This window comes from Homo sapiens, chromosome 2 (genome assembly GCF_000001405.40).
Source record: "Homo sapiens chromosome 2, GRCh38.p14 Primary Assembly".
NCBI classification, from domain to species: Eukaryota; Metazoa; Chordata; class Mammalia; order Primates; family Hominidae; genus Homo; species Homo sapiens.
In genome coordinates this window covers 122040354-122065630 of record NC_000002.12, presented here as the reverse complement: position 1 = coordinate 122065630, position 25277 = coordinate 122040354, and the positions used below count along the sequence as shown (strand labels likewise).

At 42.2% G+C, this 25277-nt stretch overlaps 1 long non-coding RNA gene across 8 annotated transcripts in view, besides 1 other annotated feature; it reads right to left on the bottom strand.

Annotated features, from left to right (window-relative positions):
- Positions 1-25277, bottom strand: part of LOC105373592 (uncharacterized) — a 530486-nt gene that overhangs the window by 367308 nt on the left and 137901 nt on the right. For 2 of the 8 annotated variants that reach the window (XR_923283.3, XR_923284.3), the window contains exon 4: positions 20497-24598. The exons of the other annotated variants lie outside the window; for them this stretch is intronic. This is a non-coding gene — a long non-coding RNA (uncharacterized LOC105373592). Of the gene's footprint in view, positions 1-20496; positions 24599-25277 lie in introns of those variants that run through there. 8 annotated transcript variants of the gene reach the window in all.
- Positions 21167-21667: an enhancer, noted in NCBI's record as "H3K27ac hESC enhancer chr2:122801540-122802040 (GRCh37/hg19 assembly coordinates)". NCBI's record gives its function as "activates a minimal SCP1, AML or CMV promoter by ChIP-STARR-seq in primed H9 embryonic stem cells {active_cell/tissue: H9 hESC(primed)}" and the evidence as "EXISTENCE:reporter gene assay evidence [ECO:0000049][PMID:30033119]".

The following is a 25277-nucleotide window of genomic DNA, read 5'->3' as shown; positions in this document are numbered from 1 at the left end:
TGACACTTCTGAAGCCTTTCAAAAAGTTTCTCTCACTTAGTCAGTGCTCAACAAATACTATATATTGCCATATCTTGTTCTAGTTTTCCATACCTGGAAAGTAAAAAGACAGTTGTGATTTTTTTTTAAATCATCAAGTTTGAAGAAAATTATTTACAAGCTTGACCTGCCTTATCACATCAAAATGTGTATCATATTTAACCTTTCAACTTGTGCAAATGGGATCATGCTTTAATCCCAACATGCATTATATTATACAAGTAGATACCTACTCGTATTGTTGCTTCCATCTCATCTGTGGAGCAGCCAAATGTAATTTACTAACAATTCCCACCTCAATGGCTGAGCAAGGGTGTCATCTCCCACTCACATGCATTGCACAAAATGCCATGTTCAAGTCTTTGGAAGCATAATGGAGAAGAAAAAAAAAAATAAAAGCGTGTTCATCCGCATTATGGATTCCACAAAAACACAAGAATAAAACAAACACATAAATAAAACAAGAATAAAAACACAAGAATAAAATGCTCAGTGGAGTATCTCACTAGTCTTGGCCCCATGACTTGTTGCTAATGCCAAAGTTGCCATTCAAGAAGAAAATGTTAATTTCTTTCTGGGAACGTGTTATAATAGAGATCTAAGAACAGATGCTAAAGAGCTGTATCAGTGAGAACTGTCACCCAAAACAATAGTTTTAAAAAGTAATAATGCTATTAGAAAACTAAGGCTCAGAAAGATTAAGTAATTTGCTTGAAGACACACAGTAAGTTTCTATTTCCAGCAAGGGTGAACCAGGCAAGACTAATCTTCCCATTAAAGACCATTTAAAAAGCTAGTCAAAAGACAAAGAAAAAAATTTTCTTGAAAGCATCAATCCACTAACAAGATAGTGAGGATTATTTGGTTGAGATCCAGTAAAGGGCTGGAACCCTGAGAGCTGAGACCAGCACTCAAGGTTGCTTTTGCTATGAAGTATTTTCTGGTCAAGATGAGGTAGCTAAAAGACTGAGCTGTACTTTTCAAAGTGTTGTGGAACTAGGGGAACAAAATTATAACCTGGTGTCTTTCAAGGGAGAAAATACAAGTAAACACTTTTCAGTTTGGGATAGGAGGTACGACAAAGGGCTGCACCTTAGAATTGAGAGTGTTTTAGACATGAATCAGCCTTTTCATGGATAGCAGTCTGTCTACACATCACTGATAACCCAGACAACTTCAACTTAAATTAAAATGCATTTACGGCAGGGCTCGGTGGCTCACGCCTGTAATCCCAGCACTTTGGGAGGCCAAGGTGGGCAGATTACGAGGTCAGCAGTTCAAGACCAGCCTGACCAACATGGTGAAACCATTTCTCCACTAAAAATACAAAAATTAGCCAGGAGTGGTGTCATGGTACAGCTCTGGAGGTCAACGTGGCCCTGCCTTCCTCCAACAGAAGCTGTGATCAACATGGCACTGTAGTGAGCACCTGTTAAGGGCAAAGCTTGTTCTATAAATGGACATTGTGATCATTATTCATTTCATTGCTCTCGATTTCACAGAATCAAATAACTTAGCATGTAAGGGAATTGAAATTGAGGGGGCCAATTCCCTCAGTTTGCAAGTGAAAATATTAAGGTTTGGGGAGGTTGACTTTCTAATGACAGAGTCAGAAATTGGACTAGAGCCAGCTCTCTGAACCTGAGCCCTTTAGCTGTTTACTAGCATTCCAGTAGAATGACTTGTGAGTCAACCCAAAATCCTGATCCACCCTGCCATCCCACACACAGCACCCTAAAGGGTGGTATTTACAGAATTTACATTACTTTGTGCCAAGCGAAAATATTACCAGATTATAGATGCAGTATAATCTCCACTGTTCTCTCTCTCTCTTTCTCTCTCTCTCTCCCCGTGTGTATGTGTGTGTGTGTGTGTGTGCGTGTGTGTGTTTGTTTGTAACCAACATCTGACTTTGAAGGAAGGCAAGCAATTGGATAAACAGAAAGGAGACATTGGGGGCTGATAGAGACATGTGAACCAATGTAGTGTACCAATGCAGAAAGGTTCTTGGCTCACAAGGGCAGTGGTGAGAATGACTGGACAGTGTAGACACTCTGTGAAGCAAAACAGGTGCCCTCATGGGAAGACAGGGTTAGCACACAGCCAGACATGGGTTTAAATCTCAGCCAGCTAGGCCACCTAGCAAAATCTTCTAAGCCTCATTCATTCATTTCTTCAGTAAATATTTATTAAGCAACACCTGAGTACAAGTAAGCACTAGAGTACTAGAGTCGATGAAATGTGCTTCAGTTTCCCTGCTAGTCAAAATGAGGACAACATACGCTTCTTGCAGGGTTACTGTGAGGATTTAGGTAAAATGCCTAGTCTATGGTCTAGCACATGTACTTGATAAACGGCACCATTTCCTGCAAGCTGGACACATCATTTGGGGCCCAATACAATAATTTGTAGCATCAGGAATTAGGGTGGATTCCTATGATTCAGAAAATGTTCAGTAAAAGATGAAAATGAAGTGAGTCTCTCCCTACCACCACTCCTTCTCAACATCATCATTTACACAGGTCACAAAGCTACAGCAAAGGATCTTCAAATGATTGTGTGATCTTCTCTACGTGATGGGAGCTGGGGGAACGGAGGCAGAAATGCAAAGCTGACCATGGGCAGCCTTTCATTAATCAAAACCAAATGGAAAAGAGGTAGGATTTTTTTAGAAAAAAAGAAGAGAGAAAAATTGTCAGTATGAAATATTTGGTTATGAGCCCCACAGCGGGCATCAGTGTCTTGGCACTAAAGTCAGATTAAAAAGGATGCCTGCCTTTTGTTTCAAAAATGCAATGCAATGAGTGTCCTACACAGAAAAGAAAAGGTCACCAAGGGAGGGATAATGCTTCTCAACATTCTCCAGCACCTAGGCGTTAAAGTGACTCATCCGAAATTTAAAAACCAGCCAACTGGAATGTCAAAGGGTTGGCTTATGAATGAATAAAGGAAAGAAGGATATCCCCAGGAAAGATGAAACAGTCAAATAGAGCCATAGAGTTCCAGAACTGGAAGGGACTTCAGCAATCAATAGCCCTCGGATAGGTGAGACAACTGAGCAAGACCAGAGAAGTGAAGAAACTTGCCCAAAGAAACCAAGCCAGAGAGGACAGTGTCTTAGCCTGTTCTCCCTAGAGAATGGAGCTTGAGACAAAGGCCTGGGTGCAGGTGGTGATGCATGCGGTGATCCCAGGAAGCAGCAGCTAGGGAGAGTGAGGCAGGAATGAAAAGCCAGCAGTAGGGGCCATCACCAAGGTCACTGCTATGGGCAACCAAAGCTCATATTCCAAAAGGCCCCCTCAGCAGTGCACAGAATGACCCCCAGGGTTATCTGCCAAAGGAGGAGAAACAGGAGCATTTGTCCATGAGGTGCTGTCCCGCAGGATTGTCCTGGGAGGTTTTAACTGCCTGTACTTCTGCACACATTGGCTGTGCATGCTTCTACTACTCCACTATTGAAAGAGCCCTAAAGCAGAAAGCCAAATCAAGGGAAGCATGCTTGAGGCCAGACACCATCAGCACAAAAAGAACCAAAGCCAGCATTGCACTATCCATCTGGCAATGGCTGAACTCAAAAGGGAGATAAAAGGATGCAATTTGGGCACCAGATGAGTCTACTATAAACCACAGATTTGGAGCTGAATCCCCTAATGCTAATACTTATTCCATGGTCTCAGGATATAACAAGAACCCCATTTCTGAAAGACTTAAGGAGTCCATGTTTCTCTCATCACCATCTAATCAGAGGCTCGAGATTCTAATCAGAGACTCATTTACCTATTGCCTCGAAGCCCAAAAATATAAAATTTTTCCACCTCAAATTCCAGCTCTACCTTGGGGTCACAAGGTAATCTCGAATATTAATGTTAACAGGAAACTGAGCTCCCTGATGGCACAGACAATATCGTATCCTAACGGTATGTTGAGATAGAAATCTTTCACATCTAAAGCACTCATAAGCCAGCTTTGATGTCAGTAAGTAATAAAAGTCTGAAAGAAAATGGGTCAATTTTAAAGGAATATTTAAGCAGCAGATCTCAAAAGCCCAGAATCAATGCTGTCCTCTCCTTGCTAGGCTGTTCCCAAAGTCCTTAAAGGAAACCCAGTGGACAAATTAACTGTAGAACCAGTGAAGTATCTGGGAATGTCAAAAATGTGACAGGTGGTGCCAAAAATCTGTCACATCCATTTGCAATGGGGCATATTAACAACCAGGCAAACCCTGCCGTTCAATTTCATTTCATTGTTCCAGACAGGATGCTTGGTGCCATGTCATGCTTCCCAGACTGAGCTGGGCAAGTTTCTGAGGGATGCAGCTGTGTGCCAGAGGTACCGAGAAATGCCCCATACACATGCATGTACTCCAGGAGCATATATCATGCTTAAAAATACCAGGGATTTTTCTATTTGAAATCTATCTTATAGAGTCAAATGCCAAATTTATATTCATTTTTAAGATAAAATTTACAACTATGAAGAATTTTCATATTGTGATGGGCAATTTGGGCAGTAGCCCTCAGGCACCCTAGGGATATGAATTCACTTTCCTCTGCCTGTAGAGTAATTTTGATGGAAAGGTTTAGAAAGCTCTGATGAGGGAAAAAGCTCTTTGCAGTCACACAGATCTAGGTTTTAGAAATTCGTCTGAGCAGAGTGTGATGGTTAATACTGAGTGTCAACTTGATTGGACTGAAGGACACAAAGTATTGATCTTGGGTGTGTCTGTGAGAGTGTTGCCAAAATAGATTAACATTTGAGTAAGGGGGTGGGGGAAGGTAGACCCATCCTTAATCTGATGGGCACGATCTAATCAGCTGCCAGCGAATATAAAGCAGGCAGAAAAACGTGAAAAGGACAAGATGGGCCGAGCTTCCCAGCCTACATCTTACTCCCGTGCTAGATGCTTCCTGCCCTCGAACATCAAACTCCAAGTTCTGCAGTTTTGGGACTCGGACTGGCTCTCCTTGCTCCTCAGCTTGCAGACAGCCTATTGTGGGACCTTGTGATCGTGTAAGTTAATACTTAATAAACTCATATATATATATATATATATATATATATATATATATACACACACACACACACACACACACACACACCCATATATATATATCCATATATATCTCCATATATATCTCCATATATATATATATCCATATATATCTCCATATATACATATATATGTTAGGATATGATAGATCATATATATCATATCCTAACAGTATGTTGAGATAGAAATCTTTCATATCTAAAGCACTCATAAGCCAGCTTTGATGTCAATAATAAAAGTCTGAAAGAAAATGGGTCAATTTTAAAGGAATATATATATACAGATATATATATATGGAGATATATATATACACACACAGAATAGGATATATATATCCTATTTATATATATATATACACACACATATATATGTGTGTGTATATATATGTGTGTGTGTATGTGTGTGTATATATATATCCTATCACAGAACTAATAGGATATACATATATATATCCTATATATCTGTACATATACATATATATATCCTATATATCTGTACATATACATATATATATCCTATATATCTGTACATATACATATATATATCCTATATATCTGTACATATACATATATATATCCTATATATCTGTACATATACATATATATATCCTATATATCTGTACATATACATATATATATCCTATATATCTGTACATATACATATATATATCCTATATATCTGTACATATACATATATATATCCTATATATCTGTACATATACATATATATATCCTATATATCTGTACATATACATATATATATCCTATATATCTGTACATATACATATATATATCCTATATATCTGTACATATACATATATATATCCTATATATCTGTACATATACATATATATATCCTATATATCTGTACATATACATATATATATCCTATATATCTGTACATATACATATATATATCCTATATATCTGTACATATACATATATATATCCTATATATCTGTACATATACATATATATATCCTATATATCTGTACATATACATATATATATCCTATATATCTGTACATATACATATATATATCCTATATATCTGTACATATACATATATATATCCTATATATCTGTACATATACATATATATATCCTATATATCTGTACATATACATATATATATCCTATATATCTGTACATATACATATATATATCCTATATATCTGTATATATACATATATATCCTATATATCTGTATATATACATATATATCCTATTAGTTCTGTGTATATATATATGTGTGTGTGTGTGTGTATATATATATATATATATATATCCTATTAGTTCTGTCCCTCTAAAAGAACCCTGATTAATACACAGAGTCACTTGGAATGAGTTATTTAACTTGTCTGAGCCTCAGTTTCTCATCTGTTAAAGGTGGATAATAATGCCTACTTCCTGGGGCTGAGGGGAGAATTAAATCAATGGTGTCCAATCTTTTGGCTTCCCTGGGCCACACTGGAAAAAGAATTGTCTTGGGCCACACATAAAATACACTAACACTAACAATAGCTGATGAGCTAAAAAAAAAAATTGCAAAAAAATCTCATAATGTTTTAAGAAAGTTTACGAATGTGTGTTGGGCCACATTCAAAGCCATCCTAGGCCGAATGCATCCCATGGGCCACAGGTTGGACCACTCTGAATTAAGTGGTATAGTATAACAAAATGTGTAGTGTAGAGTTGAAACTTGATAAGCACTTATTTCCTTCACCATTTTTATAAGACAGAAGCAAATAGAATTCAGATAGATTTAAGAAGGGTTTAGGAGAGCTGTGAGCTATGGGCCTGTGGTAGCTGATGGCATTAATGGATGCTTTTCTCCCCCCACCTGCCACACACAGCCCCATCCTCTGCTGGATGCCTTTGCAGGGCCCTCCTTCTCTGACTCGGGACTTGGCTGTATGACTGGCTTGAGCCAATGTGAGGTAGAGGGGCATGGCGCAAGCAGAGGCTTTAAATCTCTGTGCACCCTGAACTTGGTCTGGTGTGCCCTGTGCCATCACCTTGTGTCTGTGAGGGTGCTTAAAGGAACATTTAAGCAGCAGATCTCAAAAGCCCAGAATGAATGCTGTCCTCTCCTTGCTAGGCTGTTCCCGAAGTCCTTAAAGGAAATCCAGTGGACAAATTAACTGTAGGACCAGTGAAGGACGTGGCCCAACCAGCTTGCTGGAAGATAAGACACAGGGGAGGAGAGCCCAGTCATTTCAGTCATCCCAGCATAGATGAGATAACAACCAGCCAACCCGAAGAAATATGGGAAACCCAAGTTGGGATCGCCTCTCCAGCCTACAGCTGAGCCCCAACACAAGAGCACGCCCAACCCGTGAGTGAAATGCTGTTTAGAGTCAAACACTGGTGAGGTGCTCAGGTTGGTTGCTACATGCTTGTATTGTAATAGTTAAGTTACCTGGTGTCATGGGCTGAATCACATCCCTCCAAAATTCATATGTCAAAGCCCTAACCACCAGTACCTCACAATGCAACTGCCCTTGGAGATAGGAACTTTAGAGAGGTAACTAGATAAAATGAGGCTGTTAGGATGGACCCTGATCCAATCTGACCGGCATCCTTATAAGAAAAGGACATTTGGACACCTGTAGAGACACCAGGGGCACGTGTGCACAGAGAAAAGGCCATGCAGGCACAGCAACAGGGTGGCATCTGCAAGCCAAGGAGAGAGGCCTGAAATGGGTCTTTCCATGATGGCCCTAAGAGAAAACCAACACTGCTGACCCCCTGATTGTGGGCCTCCAGCTTCCTGAACAGTGAGGAAATACATTTTTTTGTTTAAGCCACCCAGTCTGTGGTACTTTGTTATGGCAGCTGCAGCAAACTAATACCCGCTGGGTTTCTGTGGCTTTGACAAGATGGGGTATTCTGCTGGGTGCTTTACATATGTGCTTCACTGAGTCCTCATCACAACTCTAGGCAATTGGCCCTGTAATCCCCAGAGCATGGGGAGACAGCTGAATCTCAGAGATCAGACAACAGCAGAGGGCCACACGGCCAGAAGTGGCCAGACCTGGGCTCTCACGGTGTCTCCAAGGCTGATGTTCTTTCCAATGTGCATACTGAGAAACTGAGGCAGGAGAGGAAGTTCCACCAGCATTTCCACCCTTGTCCCTTGTCCAAATGAAACTCTCATAATGTATTTAACAAACACAATTTTCACACCAATAGTAAGCACACGTCAAAGTTCTATTTAACCGATTAATGAAGGATCCAGCAGAAAGGCACGTCTGGTTCCAAACAGAATATGTAAAAGTGATCTTTCACGCTCAATGGAAAAGAAAGAAATGTTGAGACAAGATTGCTAAGTTAGACAAAAAAAAAATAAAACTGATTAATTCCTTATAGGATAATAAAACCATAACTTTCAGGGTTATCTTTTCAAACTGACAGCTAAATTGTCACATCTTACCAGTTTTACAGAACTGAGTAATGTTTGAGTCCTAATCATTGTGCAAACAAAGTTTCATCACTAGAGAAGATAATCCTTAAGCTGACTTGTTAAAAAATGTTCCAGCACAGTGGTTCTCATGCTTTTTTGGTCTCAGTATCTCTTTACCCTTTTAAATAACTTTTTAAATGAATTAAAGCCCCAAAGAGCTTTGCTGATGTGAGTCACATCTATCGATATTTGCTATAGTAAAAATTAAAACTTAGAAACATTTTAAAATGTTTTTATTCATTTTTAAATAGCAATAATAAACCTACTATAATTTGCCATAAACAAAATGCTTTTATGAAAGCTAACTACATTTTCAAAAAAAAAAAAAAGTTTAGTGAGAAGAGTAGGAATGTTCTACATCTTTGTAAATCTCTTTAATGTCTAGTTTAATAGGAGACAGCTGGATTCTCGTAGCTGCTCCTGCGTTCAACCTGTTACAATATGTTGTTTTGGTTGAAGCCTGTGAAGGAAATCCAGCCTCTCAAAGACATGTTATTGAAACAGGGAGGAGGGATATTTTAATAGCATTTTTGGATAACTGTGGATTGTTTTATTTGATACTTCTCTAAAGTACCACCGGACAAGTGGTAGTTTCTACAGGTGACTTGCAACATGCAACTTAAAGCCATATCAGTGGACTTTTGTACTCTGTTAGAATAAAATCCGCGGGTCTATCTTACACTTTAAATGGATCTCTTACCCATGTGTGATTGTCTCACAATGAGTACTTAGAAAATATCAGTCCATTGAATTGTGAAGATCTTCCACATGTTGACATACTTCATTATACTATTTCCAAAAATTCATTAATATCACCACTGGTTTTGTCAGTGAAACTGGGTTTTGTTGTTGTTTTGTTTTTTTTTGTTTTTTTTTTGCTGAGAGGTGGTGGTAGGGGAAGTATACAACGACTAATAGCAAAGTTTCCTGCCCTACCCTGATTTGTACCAAGGCACAAGCAGTTTTACCCACTGTTGGTTTTGTATCAGTGTGCAAATGTCAACATAGTGAAAAAGGCAAGTAACATCTTCCTGTTATTAAGAACTAGTTTTGACCTTACCGAGCTCCTGAAAGGGTTTTGGGATTCCCTAGTGTTTCAGCCCATACTTGGAGAAGCACTGCATTAGCATGACACTGAAAATATATTCAGTCATCTTTTCCCCTTATTTGCAAGTGTTAGATAATTTTCCTTAACACCTCTGACTTTCACACAAGTAAACAGAGATCATTCACCCAAGTTAGGAGCAGGAAAGCTAGTGGAGGAAACCCAGTGGGGCTGGTGGGGGAAAGGAGGGGGCAGGGGGCGGGTTTCATGCCTGTCACTTCCTGATGTATGAAATGTGTGAGCAAGACCACCCTGAAGAAGAAACGTCTTCTCCAAATTTGGCTCTGCAGGAGACAGTGTATGATCAAAGCAGGAAATAAGTCAGGGAAATCTTCCCAAAAGCAGATATGACGACACAAAGGCAAGTGGGTGGGCTTAGGAGTTTCACAACGAAGTCAAATGCCAGTTAACCATTAATCAGCAAAGTTAATTAGCAGATAATCACCATCCCTTAGGGTTTATAGGATGCTGCAACTCTCACAGATAAATTAATTTCCAAAGAAAACAAACAACCCAACTCTTTAGAAACCATTGTGAATATAGGCTTTTATCTGAAGCCTGCAAACAGTACACTGATGACTTCTCCTTCAGGCAGTCTCACCCCCTCAGCCCTGTGTACCCCATTTCCTAGCTGGAGCACATAGAATAGGGTAGGATGAGATGAAGCTGGTGGCGTGGACCAGACACCCATCCATTTGGCCAGCATCTCCTGTACCCTACAGCCCTGTGCTAAGAGATAGGGCCAGCACATTGGGCAGCAACTAGATGGAATCTGCTCACCGTCCAGGAGGAGGGAGGCTTTAAAGTAGAGGCCACAAGATTGAATGTATAATTACAAGTCGATTGAGTGCCCTAGGAGGAAGGGATATGGCACCATGAGAATATATTTTTAAAATGAAACTATCCTGGGCTGGGGTCTGAAATGCTTCTGAGAAGCAATGTCTTCTGCTCTGTGAGCTGGAGACTGGGTAGGAGCTGATGGTCACAGGCAGGTGGTCAACCAAGGGACACCCAGGAAGAGGCCCTGTGTCAAGGCAGAGCATGGCGGTACAGTGACTGCTAACAAGCATGGAGAATGAGAAGCACAAGGTCTGAGGGCAGGTAGGGACCAGACCAGGCCTTGCAGATCAGGCAAAGGCTGTGGGTCATTACGCTGAGAGTGAGGGGTCGCCAAGGGGGATGGTAAGCAAGGTCTGTGCCATGACACGATTTGCATTAAAAATAGTATTGAAGGCCCAGAGTGGAGGACAGTGGGAGAGGTGCCAGAGTGAGGGTAGTGACTAAGTAGGAGGCCTTACAGATGTCAGGGAGAAACGTTGGCAGCTTGGACTAGGGTAGTGATGGTGGGGTGGGAGAGAATGATGTATTCCAGAAATATCGACCAGACATGGAGATGGAAAGGATTTAAAGGTGGAAGGAAAGGGAGGTAGAACGGATAGCATCTAGATTGTTGATGTGCATAATTAGATGGATATTACTGAACGCTGGAAGAGGCCAGGTTGTGAAGGAAGCTCTGAAGTTCAGCCTTGGCTGTGTTGAGTTTGAGGTATGACAGACAGTCAGAGTAAGCAGTCTGACGTGCGAGCTTGGAGCTCAGGGGCAAGGTATGGACTGGATATACACTTGGTAATTTAAGCCATAGATGTGGAAGACATTTGCCAGGAAAGAGAGAAAAAGAAGAGAAGAGGAAGGAGAAGTAAGAGAAGAAAACAAGACAGAAAGGAAACTAGAGGAGGCGAAAGGAGAAGGAAGAAAAGAGAGGACGGAGGGGACAGGAGGGCGGAAGAGGGAAAAGGATGAGAAGGGGAGCTCCTGCACTTGCTGACCTCATATAGAAGGATGATTCTGCAAAGAGACAAAGAGTCTCCTGCATGGAGACTAAGAAAGGGGACCTGAAGAGTGTGACATCTCAGGAGGCAAGGGAAGGGAGGACGTCAAGACAGGAGAGTGGTAAGATGTGCCAAATACTGCAATAAAACACCAGTTGACTGCTGAAGTCATGTGGGATGCCTTCCTTCACCACCCCAGAGCCCCCTCAACCCTCTGCCCTTGCCTTGCTCCCTGCCCCAGGTGTCTGTCTCCACTAAACCACAATCCTCAGGAGGCAAAGAGCATGTCCCTTAAAGACAAGGGAGCCCCCAGCACACAACACGATGCTATCAACAAGTAGGCTGTGAGCTGAAGTCTGATCAATGAATGCATGGAATAGAAATGTTCTAGCAGCAGAAAAGACAGGGAGTGAACAAGTGCCTCAAGAAAGAATAGCTTCGGAGCAAATCATTAGCTGAACCTCAGAGGATCTTGAAAGGCTCTTCAGTCCCAAGGCTGTCCTATGCCATGTGGTTGAGGAGGAATGAGGAAAACCCCTCGTGAAAAACATGAGATGTTTCTCGGTAGCTCATGAGATCTCATGCTTCAAAGGCAAAACCTCAGCTACTCTGAATGGCACATTCCTGCGATGATGATGTTGAATCACGCAGTTTAACTACTGAACACATGATCCTGCCTTCAAGGAGCTTTCGATCAAGTTGAGAAAGAAAGGCTATAAGGTATCAAACAGGAAGATCCTAAAAGTAAAATAAGTATAAGGTTGCCTATGGCTGGGTATTTAGCAATGTCATGGAGGTGGGGACATAAAAAAAAGATTGTGACTCACCTCCCTCAGTGTAAAAAAGACAAAACCTCCAATAGAAAAGGAATAGAAATGAACAATAAATTTCCAAAAGAAGAAACACAAATCCATAAGGACATATGAAAAATAATCAACTAGTAGTTACCAAAGAAAGGCAAATTGAAGAAATGACAGCATGTTTCAAATTAAAAGTAAAAAGGCATTTAATTGAAAGCAAAGACTTGGAACCAACCCAAATGCTCATCAATGATAGACTGAACAAAGAAAATGTGACACATATATACCATGGAATACCATGCAGCCATAAAAAGAATGAGTTCATGTCCTTTGCAGGGACGTGGATGAAGCTGGAAACCATCATTCTCAGCAAACTAACACAGGAACAGAAAACCAAACACCACATGTTTTCACTCGTAAGTGGGAGTTGAACAATAAGAACACATGGACACAAGGAGGGAAACATCACACACTGGGGCCTGTCAGGTGGTGGGGGAAAGGGAAGGGAGGGCATTAGGACAAATACCTGATGCATGTGGGGCTTAAAACCTAGATGACGGGTTGATAGGTGCAGCAAACCACCATGGCACATGTATACCTATGTAACAAGCCTGCACGTTCTGCACATGTATCCCAGAACTTAAATTTTTAAAAAAATTAAAAAATAGAAAAAAATTTTAAAAAGGTATTTAATTTAAAATAGCAATATCTGGTGTTGCCAAGGGTGCAAGGAAATGGGCACTGGTGTACACTGATGAGCATGCACACATCTGCAGAACCTCTCTGCAGGGCAGCTTGACACTAAGCATTGAAAGAGTTAGATGTGAAGTGCAATTCGCCCTCTGGAAATTCATCCTAAAAAGATAATTAAGGATGGGTACAGAAATTTAATCATAAGGAAGATCACTGCAGTGCAGTTTTTTATTACAAATAAAAGTTGGAAATAATCCACATTGCCAAACAGAGGAGGGTTAGTTAAATAAACTATGTGCACAACAGATGTAAGCAAACACTAAAAACACCTTATAGAAATATTTATCAATATGAGAAGATGGTATTATCCTACCATCTTAAGTACCAAAAAACAGATTATGGGGAAAAATGGCAAGATGGCCAAATAGGAACAGCTCCGGTCTACAGCTCCCAGCGTGAGCGACGCAGAAGACGGGTAATTTCTCCATTTCCATGTGAGGTACCGGGTTCATCTCACTAGGGAGTGCCAGACAGTGGGCGCAGGTCAGTGGGTGCAGCGCACCGTGCAAAAGCCGAAGCAGGGCGAGGCATTGCCTCACTTCGGAAGCGCAAGGGGTCAGGGAGTTCCCTTTCTGAGTCAAAGAAAGGGGTGATGGACGGCACCTGGAAAATCGGGTCACTCCCACCCGAATACTGCGCTTTTCCGACGGGCTTAAAAAACGGCGCACCACGAGATTATATCCCGCACCTGGCTCCAAGGGTCCTACGCCCACGGAGTCTCGCTGATTGCTAGCACAGCAGTCTGAGATCAAACTGCAAGGCGGCAGCGAGGCTGGGGGAGGGGCGCCCGCCATTGCCCAGGCTTGCTTAGGTAAACAAAGCAGCCCGGAAGCTCAAACTGGGTGGAGCCCACCACAGCTCAAGGAGGCCTGCCTGCCTCTGTAGGCTCCACCTCTGGGGGCAGGGCACAGACAAACAAAAAGACAGCAGTAACCTCTGCAGACTTAAATGTCCCTGTCTGACAGCTTTGAAGAGAGCAGTGGTTCTCCCAGCACGCAGCTGGAGATCTGAGAACGGGCAGACTGCCTCCTCAAGTGGGTCCCTCACCCCTGACCCCCGAGCAGCCTAACTGGGAGGCACCCCCCAGCAGGGGCACACTGACACCTCACACGGCAGGGTATTCCAACAGACCTGCAGCTGAGGGTCCTGTCTGTTAGAAGGAAAACTAACAAACAGAAAGGACATCCACACCAAAAACCCATCTGTACATCACCATCATCAAAGACCAAAAGTAGATAAAACCACAAAGATGGGGAAAAAACAGAACAGAAAAACTGGAAACTCTAAAACGCAGAGCGCCTCTCTTCCTCCAAAGGAACGCAGTTCCTCACCAGCAACGGAACAAAGCTGGATGGAGAATGACTTTGACGAGCTGAGAGAAGAAGGCTTCAGACGAACAAATTACTCTGAGCTACGGGAGGACATTCAAACCAAAGGCAAAGAAGTTGAAAACTTTGAAAAAAATTTAGAAGAATGTATAACTAGAATAACCAACACAGAGAAGTGCTTAAAGGAGCTGATGGAGCTGAAAACCAAGGCTCGAGAACTACGTGAAGAATGCAGAAGCCTCAGGAGCCGATGCGATCAACTGGAAGAAAGGGTATCAGCGATGGAAGATGAAATGAATGAAATGAAGCGAGAAGGGAAGTTTAGAGAAAAAAGAATAAAAAGAAATGAGCAAAGCCTCCAAGAAATATGGGACTATGTGAAAAGACCAAATCTACGTCTGATTGGTGTACCTGAAAGTGATGGGGAGAATGGAACCAAGTTGGAAAACACTCTGCAGGATATTATCCAGGAGAACTTCCCCAATCTAGCAAGGCAGGCCAACGTTCAGATTCAGGAAATACAGAGAACGCCACAAAGATACTCCTTGAGAAGAGAAACTCCAAGACACATAATTGTCAGATTCACCAAAGTTGAAATGAAGGAAAAAATGTTAAGGGCAGCCAGAGAGAAAGGTCGGGTTACCCTCAAAGGGAAGCCCATCAGACTAAGAGCAGATCTCTCGGCAGAAACCCTACAAGCCAGAAGAGAGTGGGGGCCAATATTCAACATTCTTAAAGAAAAGAATTTTCAACCCAGAATTTCATATCCAGCCAAACTAAGCTTCATAAGTGAAGGAGAAATAAAATACTTTACAGACAAGCAAATGCTGAGAGATTTTGTCACCACCAGGCCTGCCCTAAAAGAGCTCCTGAAGGAAGCACTAAACATGGAAAGGAACAACCGGTACCAGCCGCTGCAAAATCATGCCAAAATGTAAAGACCATCGAGACTAGGAAGAAACTGCATCAACTAACAAGCAAAATAACCAGCTAACATCATAATGACAGGATCAAATTCAAACATAACAATATTAACTTTAAATGTAAATGGACTAAATGCTCCAATTAAAAGACACAGACCGGCAAATTGGATAAAGAGTCAAGACCCATCAGTGTGCTGTATTCAGGAAACCCATCTCACGTGCAGAGACACACATAGGCTCAAAATAAAAGGATGGAGGAAGATCTACCAAGCCAATGGAAAACAAAAAAAGGCAGGGGTTGCAATCCTAGTCTCTGATAAAACAGACTTTAAACCAACAAAGATCAAAAGAGACAAAGAAGGCCATTACATAATGGTAAAGGGATCAATTCAACAAGAACAGCTAACTATCCTAAATATATATGCACCCAATACAGGAGCACCAAGATTCATAAAGCAAGTCCTGAGTGACCTACAAAGAGACTTAGACTCCCACACATTAATAATGGGAGATTTTAACAACCCACTATCAACATTAGACAGATCAATGAGACAGAAAGTCAACAAGGATACCCAGGAATTGAACTCAGCTCTGCACCAAGTGTACCTAATAGACATCTACAGAACTCTCCACCCCAAATCAACAGAATATACATTTTTTTCAGCACCACACCACACCTATTCCAAAATTGACCACATACTTGGAAGTAAAGCTCTCCTCAGCAAATGTAAAAGAACAGAAATTATAACCAACTATCTCTCAGACCACAGTGCAATCAAACTAGAATTCAGGATTAAGAATCTCACTCAAAACCGCTCAACTACATGGAAACTGAACAACCTGTTCCTGAATGACTACTGGGTTCCTGAATGACTACTGGGTTCATAACGAAATGAAGGCAGAAATAAAGATGTTCTTTGAAACCAACGAGAACAAAGACACAACATACCAGAATCTCTGGGACACATTCAAAGCAGTGTGTAGAGGGAAATTTATAGCACTAAATGCCCACAAGAGAAAGCAGGAAAGATCCAAAATTGACACCCTAACATCACAATTAAAAGAACTAGAAAAGCAAGAGCAAACACATTCAAAAGCTAGCAGAAGGCAAGAAATAACTAAAATCAGAGCAGAACTGAAGGAAATAGAGACACAAAAAACCCTTCAAAAAATTAATGAATCCAGGAGCTGGTTTTTTGAAAGGATCAACAAAATTGATAGACTGCTAGCAAGACTAATAAAGAAGAAAAGAGAAGAATCAAATAGACGCAATAAAAAATGATAAAGGGGATATCACCACCGATCCCACAGAAATACAAACTACCATCAGAGAATACTACAAACACCTCTACGCAAATAAACTAGAAAATCTAGAAGAAATGGATACATTCCTCGACACATACACTCTCCCAAGACTAAACCAGGAAGAAGTTGAATCTCTGAATAGACCAATAACAGGAGCTGAAATTGTGGCAATAATCAATAGCTTACCAACCAAAAAGAGTCCAGGACCAGATGGATTCACAGCCGAATTCTACCACAGGTACAAGGAGGAACTGGTACCATTCCTTCTGAGACTATTCCAATCAATAGAAAAAGAGGGAATCCTCCCTAACTCATTTTATGAGGCCAGCATCATTCTGATACCAAAGCCGGGCAGAGATACAACCAAAAAAGAGAATTTTAGACCAATATCCTTGATGAACATTGATGCAAAAATCCTCAATAAAATACTGGCAAAACGAATCCAGCAGCACATCAAAAAGCTTATCCACCATGATCAAGTTGGCTTCATCCCTGGGATGCAAGGCTGGCTCAATATACGCAAATCAATAAATGTAATCCAGCATATAAACAGAGCCAAAGACAAAAACCACATGATTATCTCAATAGATGCAGAAAAAGCCTTTGACAAAATTCAACAACCCTTCATGCTAAAAACTCTCAATAAATTAGGTATTGATGGGACGTATTTCAAAATAATAAGAACTATCTATGACAAACCCACAGCCAATATCATACTGAATGGGAAAAAACTGGAAGCATTCCCTTTGAAAACTGGCACAAGACAGGGATGCCCTCTCTCACCACTCCTATTCAACATAGTGTTGGAAGTTCTGGCCAGGGCAATTAGGCAGGAGAAGGAAACAAAGGGTATTCAATTAGGAAAAGAGGAAGTCAAATTGTCCCTGTTTGCAGACGACATGATTGTATATCTAGAAAACCCCATTGTCTCAGCCCAAAATCTCCTTAAGCTGATAAGCAACTTCAGCAAAGTCTCAGGATACAAAATCAATGTACAAAAATCACAAGCATTCTTATACACCAACAACAGATAAACAGAGAGCCAAATCATGAGTGAACTCCCATTCACAATTGCTTCAAAGAGAATAAAATACCTAGGAATCCAACTTACAAGGGATGTGAAGGACCTCTTCAAGGAGAACTACAAACCACTGCTCAAGGAAATAAACGAGGATACAAACAAATGGAAGAACATTCCATGCTCATGGATAGGAAGAATCAATATCGTGAAAATGGCCATACTGCCCAAGGTAATTTACAGATTCAATGCCATCCCCATCAAGCTACCAATGACTTTCTTCACAGAATTGGAAAAAACTACTTTAAAGTTCATATGGAACCAAAAAAGAGCCCGCATTGCCAAGTCAATCCTAAGCCAAAAGAACAAAGCTGGAGGAATCACACTACCTGACTTCAGACTATACTACAAGGCTATAGTAACCAAAACAGCATGGTACTGGTACCAAAACAGAGATATAGATCAATGGAACAGAACAGAGCCCTCTGAAATAACGCCGCATATCTACAACTATCTGATCTTTGACAAACCTGAGAAAAACAAGCAATGGGGAAAGGATTCCCTATTTAATAAATGGTGCTGGGAAAACTGGCTAGCCATATGTAGAAAGCTGAAACTGGATCCCTTCCTTACACCTTATACAAAAATCAATTCAAGATGGATTAAAGACTTAAACGTTAGACCTAAAACCATAAAAACCCTAGAAGAAAACCTAGGTATTACCATTCAGGACATAGGCAGGGGCAAGGACTTCATGTCTAAAACACCAAAAGCAATGGCAACAAAAGACAAAATTGACAAATGGGATCTAATTAAACTAAGGAGCTTCTGCACAGCAAAAGAAACTACCATCAGAGTGAACAGGCAACCTACAGAATGGGAGAAAATTTTCGCAACCTACTCATCTGACAAAGGGCTAATATCCAGAATCTACAATGAACTCAAACAAATTTACAAGAAAAAAACAAACAACCCCATCAAAAAGTGGGTGAAGGACATGAACAGACACTTCTCAAAAGAAGACATTTATGCAGCCAACAGACACATGAAAAAATGCTCATCATCACTGGCCATCAGAGAAATGCAAATCAAAACCACAATGAGATACCATCTCACACCAGTTAGAATGGCAATCATTAAAAAGTCAGGAAACAACAGGTGCTGGAGAGGATGTGGAGAAACAGGAACACTTTTACACTGTTGGTGGGACTGTAAACTAGTTCAACCACTGTGGAAGTCAGTGTGGCGATTCCTCAGGGATCTAGAACTGGAAATACCATTTGACCCAGCCATCCCATTACTGGGTATATACCCAAAGGACTATAAATCATGCTGCTATAAAGACACATGAACACGTATGTTTATTGCGGCACTATTCACAATAGCAAAGACTTGGAACCAACCCAAATGTCCAACAATGATAGACTGGATTAAGAAAATGTGGCACATATACACCATGGAATACTATGCAGTCATAAAAAATGATGAGTTCATGTCCTTTGTAGGGACATGGATGAAATTGGAAATCATCATTCTCAGTAAACTATCGCAAGAACTAAAAACCAAATACCGCATATTCTCACTCATAGGTGGGAACTGAACAATGAGAACACATGGACGCAGGAAGGGGAACATCACAATCTGGGGACTATTGTGGGGTAGCGGGGGGAGGGATAGCATTGGGAGATATACCTAATGCTAGATGACGAGTTAGTGGGTGCAGCGCACCAGCATGGCACATGTATACATATGTAACTAACCTGCACAATGTGCACATGTACCCTAAAACTTAAAGTATAATAAAAAAAAAACAGATTATGAAACAATATGTATATTATGGTGTGATGTTATTAGTGTGTGTGTCTGTGTGTGCATGCACACATGTGCACAGGAGATCTGGAAGGCTATGCATCAGTATGTTAACAGAAATTAGGTGGATATGGTTATGAATATTTTAAAATCCTTTGCACATGTCTGTATTTTCTGACTTTTGTTAACAAGCTTTTGAAATGAGATTTTTTTAAAAAAAATGTTTCTAAAGAACTGCGTAGGGCATTCTGGGTGGAAAACGGATGAACAAAGTCATAGAAGGTGACTCAGAAGCTGAGAAGGTTTTACAGTGAAGACAAAGTGGAGACCAGTCAGATGGGAGAACTGGGGTCCCCCTACATTGGTCCTGTTTAGAACAGGCATAAAAGGCCAACTAAATTAAAAAAAGGGTGAAGGTTTCAGCCTTTGCATAGGGCTGTTTGTTCAAACTTCTTTAAAACTTTTTTTTTTTTTTTTTTTGAGACAGAGTTTTGCTCTTGTTGCCCAGGCTGGAGTGCAATGGCGCGATCTCAGCTCACTGCAACCTGCGTCTCCCAGGTTCAAGTGATTCTCCTGCCTCAGCCTCCCAAGTAGCTGGGATTACAGGCATAAACCACCATGCCCAGCTATTTTTGTATTTTTAGTACAGACGAGGTTTCTCCATGTTGGTCAGCCTGGTCTCGAACTCCTAACCTCAGGTGATCATCCCACCTCGGCCTCCCAAAGTGCTGGGATTACAGGCATGAGACACCATGCCTGGCCCTTCTTTAAAACTTTTAATCCCGGCGGGGCGCGGTGGCTTACGCCTGTAATCCCAGCACTTTGGGAGGCCAAGGCGGGTGGATCACGAGGTCAGGAGATCGAGACCATCCTGGCTAACAGGGTGAAACACCGTCTCTACTAAAAATACAAAAAATTAGCCAGGTGTACAGGCAGGCGCCTGTAGTCCCAGCTACTCGGGAGGCTGAGAGGCTGAGGCAGGAGAATGCCATGAACCCGGGAGGCAGAGCTTGCAGTGAGCCAAGATCACGCCACTGCACTCCAGCCTGGGCGACACAGTGAGACTCCGTCACAAAAAAAGAGAAAAAAAAAAAACTTTTAATCCCTCTTGTTCCAGGATAGATTTAAGGTCCCTTACAAATATACATGCAATGTCAACAATCACTTATGCAACACCTGTACATCCCAGGCACTGTGCTTGGCTCTGGGGATGCAAAGCTGAACTGTAAGATCAAGCCACTCAGTGCCAAGTGGACTAGATGGCTCTCCAGCAGGTAGGTAACAGTAGAGCAGGAATCACAAAACGCTTGTCTCATGGCTCAGCCTGGACAGGAGTTGTATTGTTTGGCCAGTTCAGTGTTTTTTGTTTGTTTTTTAACTTGGATGACTTTAGGCAGGACTTGCACTCTCCAACTGGAGACCACAGTTTCTACTTTCTCTCTTTTCACCATGGAGGCTTTGCACCATCTTCCTGGCCCATGAGGGCATTGGGGTTTGCCAGCTCCAACCACCACCACATTGTAGGGAAAAGAACATGGAATTTGCAGCCACACAGACAAGAGTTCCAGTCATGATCTATGCAACCTAGAACCAGTTCCTTAGCTTCTTTAGTTCCCTTCTCCTTAAAGGGAGTCCCAACTTTGGATACTGTGAGTCTTGCTCCCTGGCCCCCTAGTCTATCAGGACAGGCCAGGGAAGGGTTTTCCTGGCCAGGGCACATTGTTAAGGTCTGAAATCAGGCTAAGCATGGAGAGAAAGCCCTTCACGCTAGATTCAGTGAAGTGGACCAGAAATCCTAGGGATTGAAAGGAATAGAAGATCGGTGAAGTGTAAGCAAATCCAAACTGCGTGCCCAGCCCCATGAGAATCAGGCGCCCAAACACAGTGGAGCAGAGAAACCTGGAGCAGATATGCCCAGGCAGTGCTGCAAGAGGATGGCAAGCCCAGACAGATCCCCAAATCGAGGGAACTGCATGTCTGAATAGGGTCTGGATTTTCTGGGGTGCACCCAGTACATTGTCAGAGGCCAAAATTGGTGCGCCAAGTTTCGTCCTTCTCATGCCTGCTGGCATGTGGACTGGAAGAGTACTCATGGTCTTGTACTTGGAGTGGGCATCTTTTTCTCCCCAGCTTCCCTGTTATTTCTAGGTTTCTTCCACAGCAGAAAGCAGTCATTTCCAGCCCCCAGTGCAGGCCCTCCTTGCCCAGTTAATGCATGGGCTGATTTCTCTACAGAAATATCATAAGACCGTCACATGGACTCCCTTCTTAATGCCTCAAATTCTCCCTGTAGCTCCTAATTCCCCAGTATGGACACCAACTTATTCCTGAGGACTGGTGTTGTCTCACCAGCTGTGTTGTGAGGCCCATAAGAGAAGAAAAGTGTGGCTGGGTGCGATGGCTCATGCCTGTAATCCCAGCACTTAGGAGGCTGAGGTGGGCAGATCACCTGAGGTTGGGAGTTCGAGACCAGCCTGACCAACATGCTAAAACCCTGTCTCTACTAAAAATGCAAAATTAGCCAAGTGTGGTGGCACATTCCTGTAATCCCAGCTACTCGGGAGGCTGAGGCAGGAGAATCACTTGAACCCGGAGGTGGAGGTTGTGGTGAGCCAAAATCACGCCACTGCACTCCAGCCTGGACGACAAGAAGAAGAAGGAGAAGGAGAAGAAGAAGAAGAGGAGGAGGAAGAATTTAAAAAGGAAGAAAATATAAACTAAATAATTCAATGGTGCTCTGAGGATAAAGCAAGTTCTAATTTGTGGGAAAAGGATTAAATATTTGTTTTCTGAAAAGAGTTATTTTGCATTTTGTTTTCTATTAAAATGTATTTAGTTTAAAAAAAAACACAGCATTCAGTACAGTGTTGGACATAGAATTATGCTTTTTTTTTCCAGTAAGAAGAAAGTCTTTTAAAATAAAGAATGAAAATTATGGGGAAAAAACAAAAATGTGGAAAGGATAAATCTTTACATTATAAGCTAGAAAACTATACAATATGAGCCAAACGAGAAAACAAAACAAAACAAAAGGTGACCATCATTATTTTTTGTACCTCAGCTTATCTTGCTCTTGAACTCTTATTGATTGCAAGATACCTGTAAATGCTCAATCTTGTCAGTCGGAGGCAGTTGGGTAATTAGTCTTCCTGAATGTCTCCTCTCCTCAAGAACATCCTGCTTCTTCCTACTCCCCAGCAGCAGGTGGACACTGGGAAAGGTTAGGGTCCTGGTGCTCTGAGAGAGTGGCTGGCTCCCTGCTGGACCCACTGTGAAGGTAGGTGTCTGTGGCTAGGGGGACTCATGGCCTGCAAGGCTGTGTTTCTTCCCCACCAATTCCACTGTCCTGCTGGGGCTGCCTTTCTTTGGAGAGCCCAAGGCTGCCATCACACCCATCGCATGCCCAGCTCCAAGGAATAGCTTGCCCAAGACCCTGGGAACCTGAGAATCACATCTCACACCCACCGCCAAGAATCTTCTCTTTGCTTTTGCGTGTCATACTGATGCAAGGCAGGTGAACCCAAAATCGAGGCTTCACCTGGGAGGGTTGTTGCCTTTGCCCAGGAAAGAATTTAAGGGTGAGCCAGTGGTGCTAGACAGCAACTTCTATTGAAGCAGCAGCAGAGGTGTTGTGCCTTGTGGAGCAGGGCTACCCCAGAGGCAGTGTGCCCAGAGCAGCAGCTCAGAAGCAGTTTTGTACTCACACTTATATTTACTTTGAAAATTAAGGGACAGATTATGCAAAAATTTCTTGAAAAAGAGTGGTAATTTCTAGGTGGTTGAGTCATTGCCATGGACAAAGGTGGTACCGCTCGAGTGTTGCCCTGGCAATGGTAAACCGACATGGCACTCTGTTGGGCATATCTTATAGAAAGTTGTTTTTGCCCCATCCGCATTTTAGCTAGTCCTCAATTTGGTCCAGTGTCCAAGCTCTGCCTTCTAACTCAATATGAGAAGCAGCAGCCCCCCAGATTTTTCTGAGAGGTGAGTAATCTTTCCAGGCCATGTCTGAAGATGCATGGACAAACCTTCTGCTCCAGGACTCACATGAACCCTTCTGGAAGCCTCTGTTTATCTGCCTCCTGCCCAGCAATGAATTGGGGAGGTCAAGGATGCTTACATCTATATTCTTGCCTCCACTCTCTTCCTCCACCTGGGTCACTCAAATAGAAATATTCTTCACTGCATCTCCTGTCTCCACAGTCAACAGTTCAGCCTTGGATTATTTGTTTGTGCATTAGTTGTGATCAGGTTGGGCTGCAATTGAGAAGAAAACAAACGATGTTTTTCACTTACATACAGGCTAGCCTGTCCATTGTCTATTGCTGCATAGCAAATCACCACACATGCAGCAGCTTTAAAAGACACAAAGTTATTAGCTCACAGCATCCATGGACCAGAAGTCCTGGTACAGTGTGGCGCAGTTGCGTTCTGTGCTCAGGGACTCTCAAAGCTAAAATCCACTTTGGCTTTCAAAGTGTTGGCTGGGCTGGGCTGTCTGCAGACTCTGGGGAAGAATCCACTTACAAGTGCATCTAGGTTGTTAGCAGAATTCAGTTCATTGCAGTTGTGAAACTGAGATCCCTATCTCCTTGACATGCAGATGCCCTCATCTTCAAGCCAATAATTGCATGGCGAATCCTTCTCATGCTTCAAATCTCTGCCTTCCCCTTCTGCGACGGGCTGGAAAAAGATCTTCCCTTTCAAGGGCTCATACAATTTAAACTAGGTCCACCTGGTGAATCCAGGACAATCTTCCGATTTTAAGGTCAACTAATTGGTACCTTAATTACATTTTGCCATGTAATGTAACATATCCATGAATAATGCCAAGGGCAAAAGTCATGAGGCCCAAGCTCTGCCTTCCACAGCTGGTAAGGCAACTCTGCCTTAAGTCCTCAGGACCCAGGCTCCCTTCTACTCACCACTCCATCACCCCTGGAAGGGACCTCTGTCCTCGCAGCCCAGGATTCAACAACTGTATGCCAAGGCAGATGGGTATAGGGTTGTATAGGGTTCATTCTGACTAGGTTTTAAGGAAGGTTCTCAGCAGCTGCCGCACAACGTTTCTGCCTTCATCCCATTGGTTCTACATTGTGACATCCTTGCCTGGTTGTAAGGGAAGCTGGGCAAGGTAGCTCCATTCTGGGTGTCAATGTGGCTGGGTACAAATTCTATCAATAAGAAAAAGACGGAGAATGGGTAGTTGGGGACAATATGTAAAAAGAAAATCTGGGGAAAGCCCATAAAACCCCTTTTTCTCTCTTGTTAGCTTGGTCTTCAAGTCTTTAAAACCTTTAGTTTGAAACTCAAGCTAAAACTGGCACTTTTGTTGCAGGCAATGGTCCTTTCCCCCTTCCCCAGGCAATCAGTCTCAGCCTCCAGGCCTGAATTTACTGGCAGAAAAGCTGAGGGAGAGGATGTGAATTTAGGGAGAAGATCATTATGGTACTACATTTGAATGCAGAGATACGGGAGCGGCTGTTGTCTCCTAATGTGCACCTCCCACTGTTGTCTAGAAGTGTTTGACTCTAAGCTTTCTTTATGCTCCTACAAGGGAGAAAGAAGGAATGTTGCAAGGCTATCTTCACGCCAGTATTTGGTCCCAAGCCCTGTAAATACAATTCCAGTTGCAAAGCCTAAAGCAAGTAGATGTTCATTTTCTTTTACAAGACAGGAGATGACATTCCGTAATGTCATGCAGTTATTACCCATCTAGCATGCAAAAAAGTCACAGAAATGGAGCCAATGATCTGTAGGAGCAATTTTCCACTTTCGGCCATGCTTAAGGAATACAGTGGATGGGCCCGTCACAAGCAGCCAGTGCCCTCAGCCACAGCTCTGCATAACCTA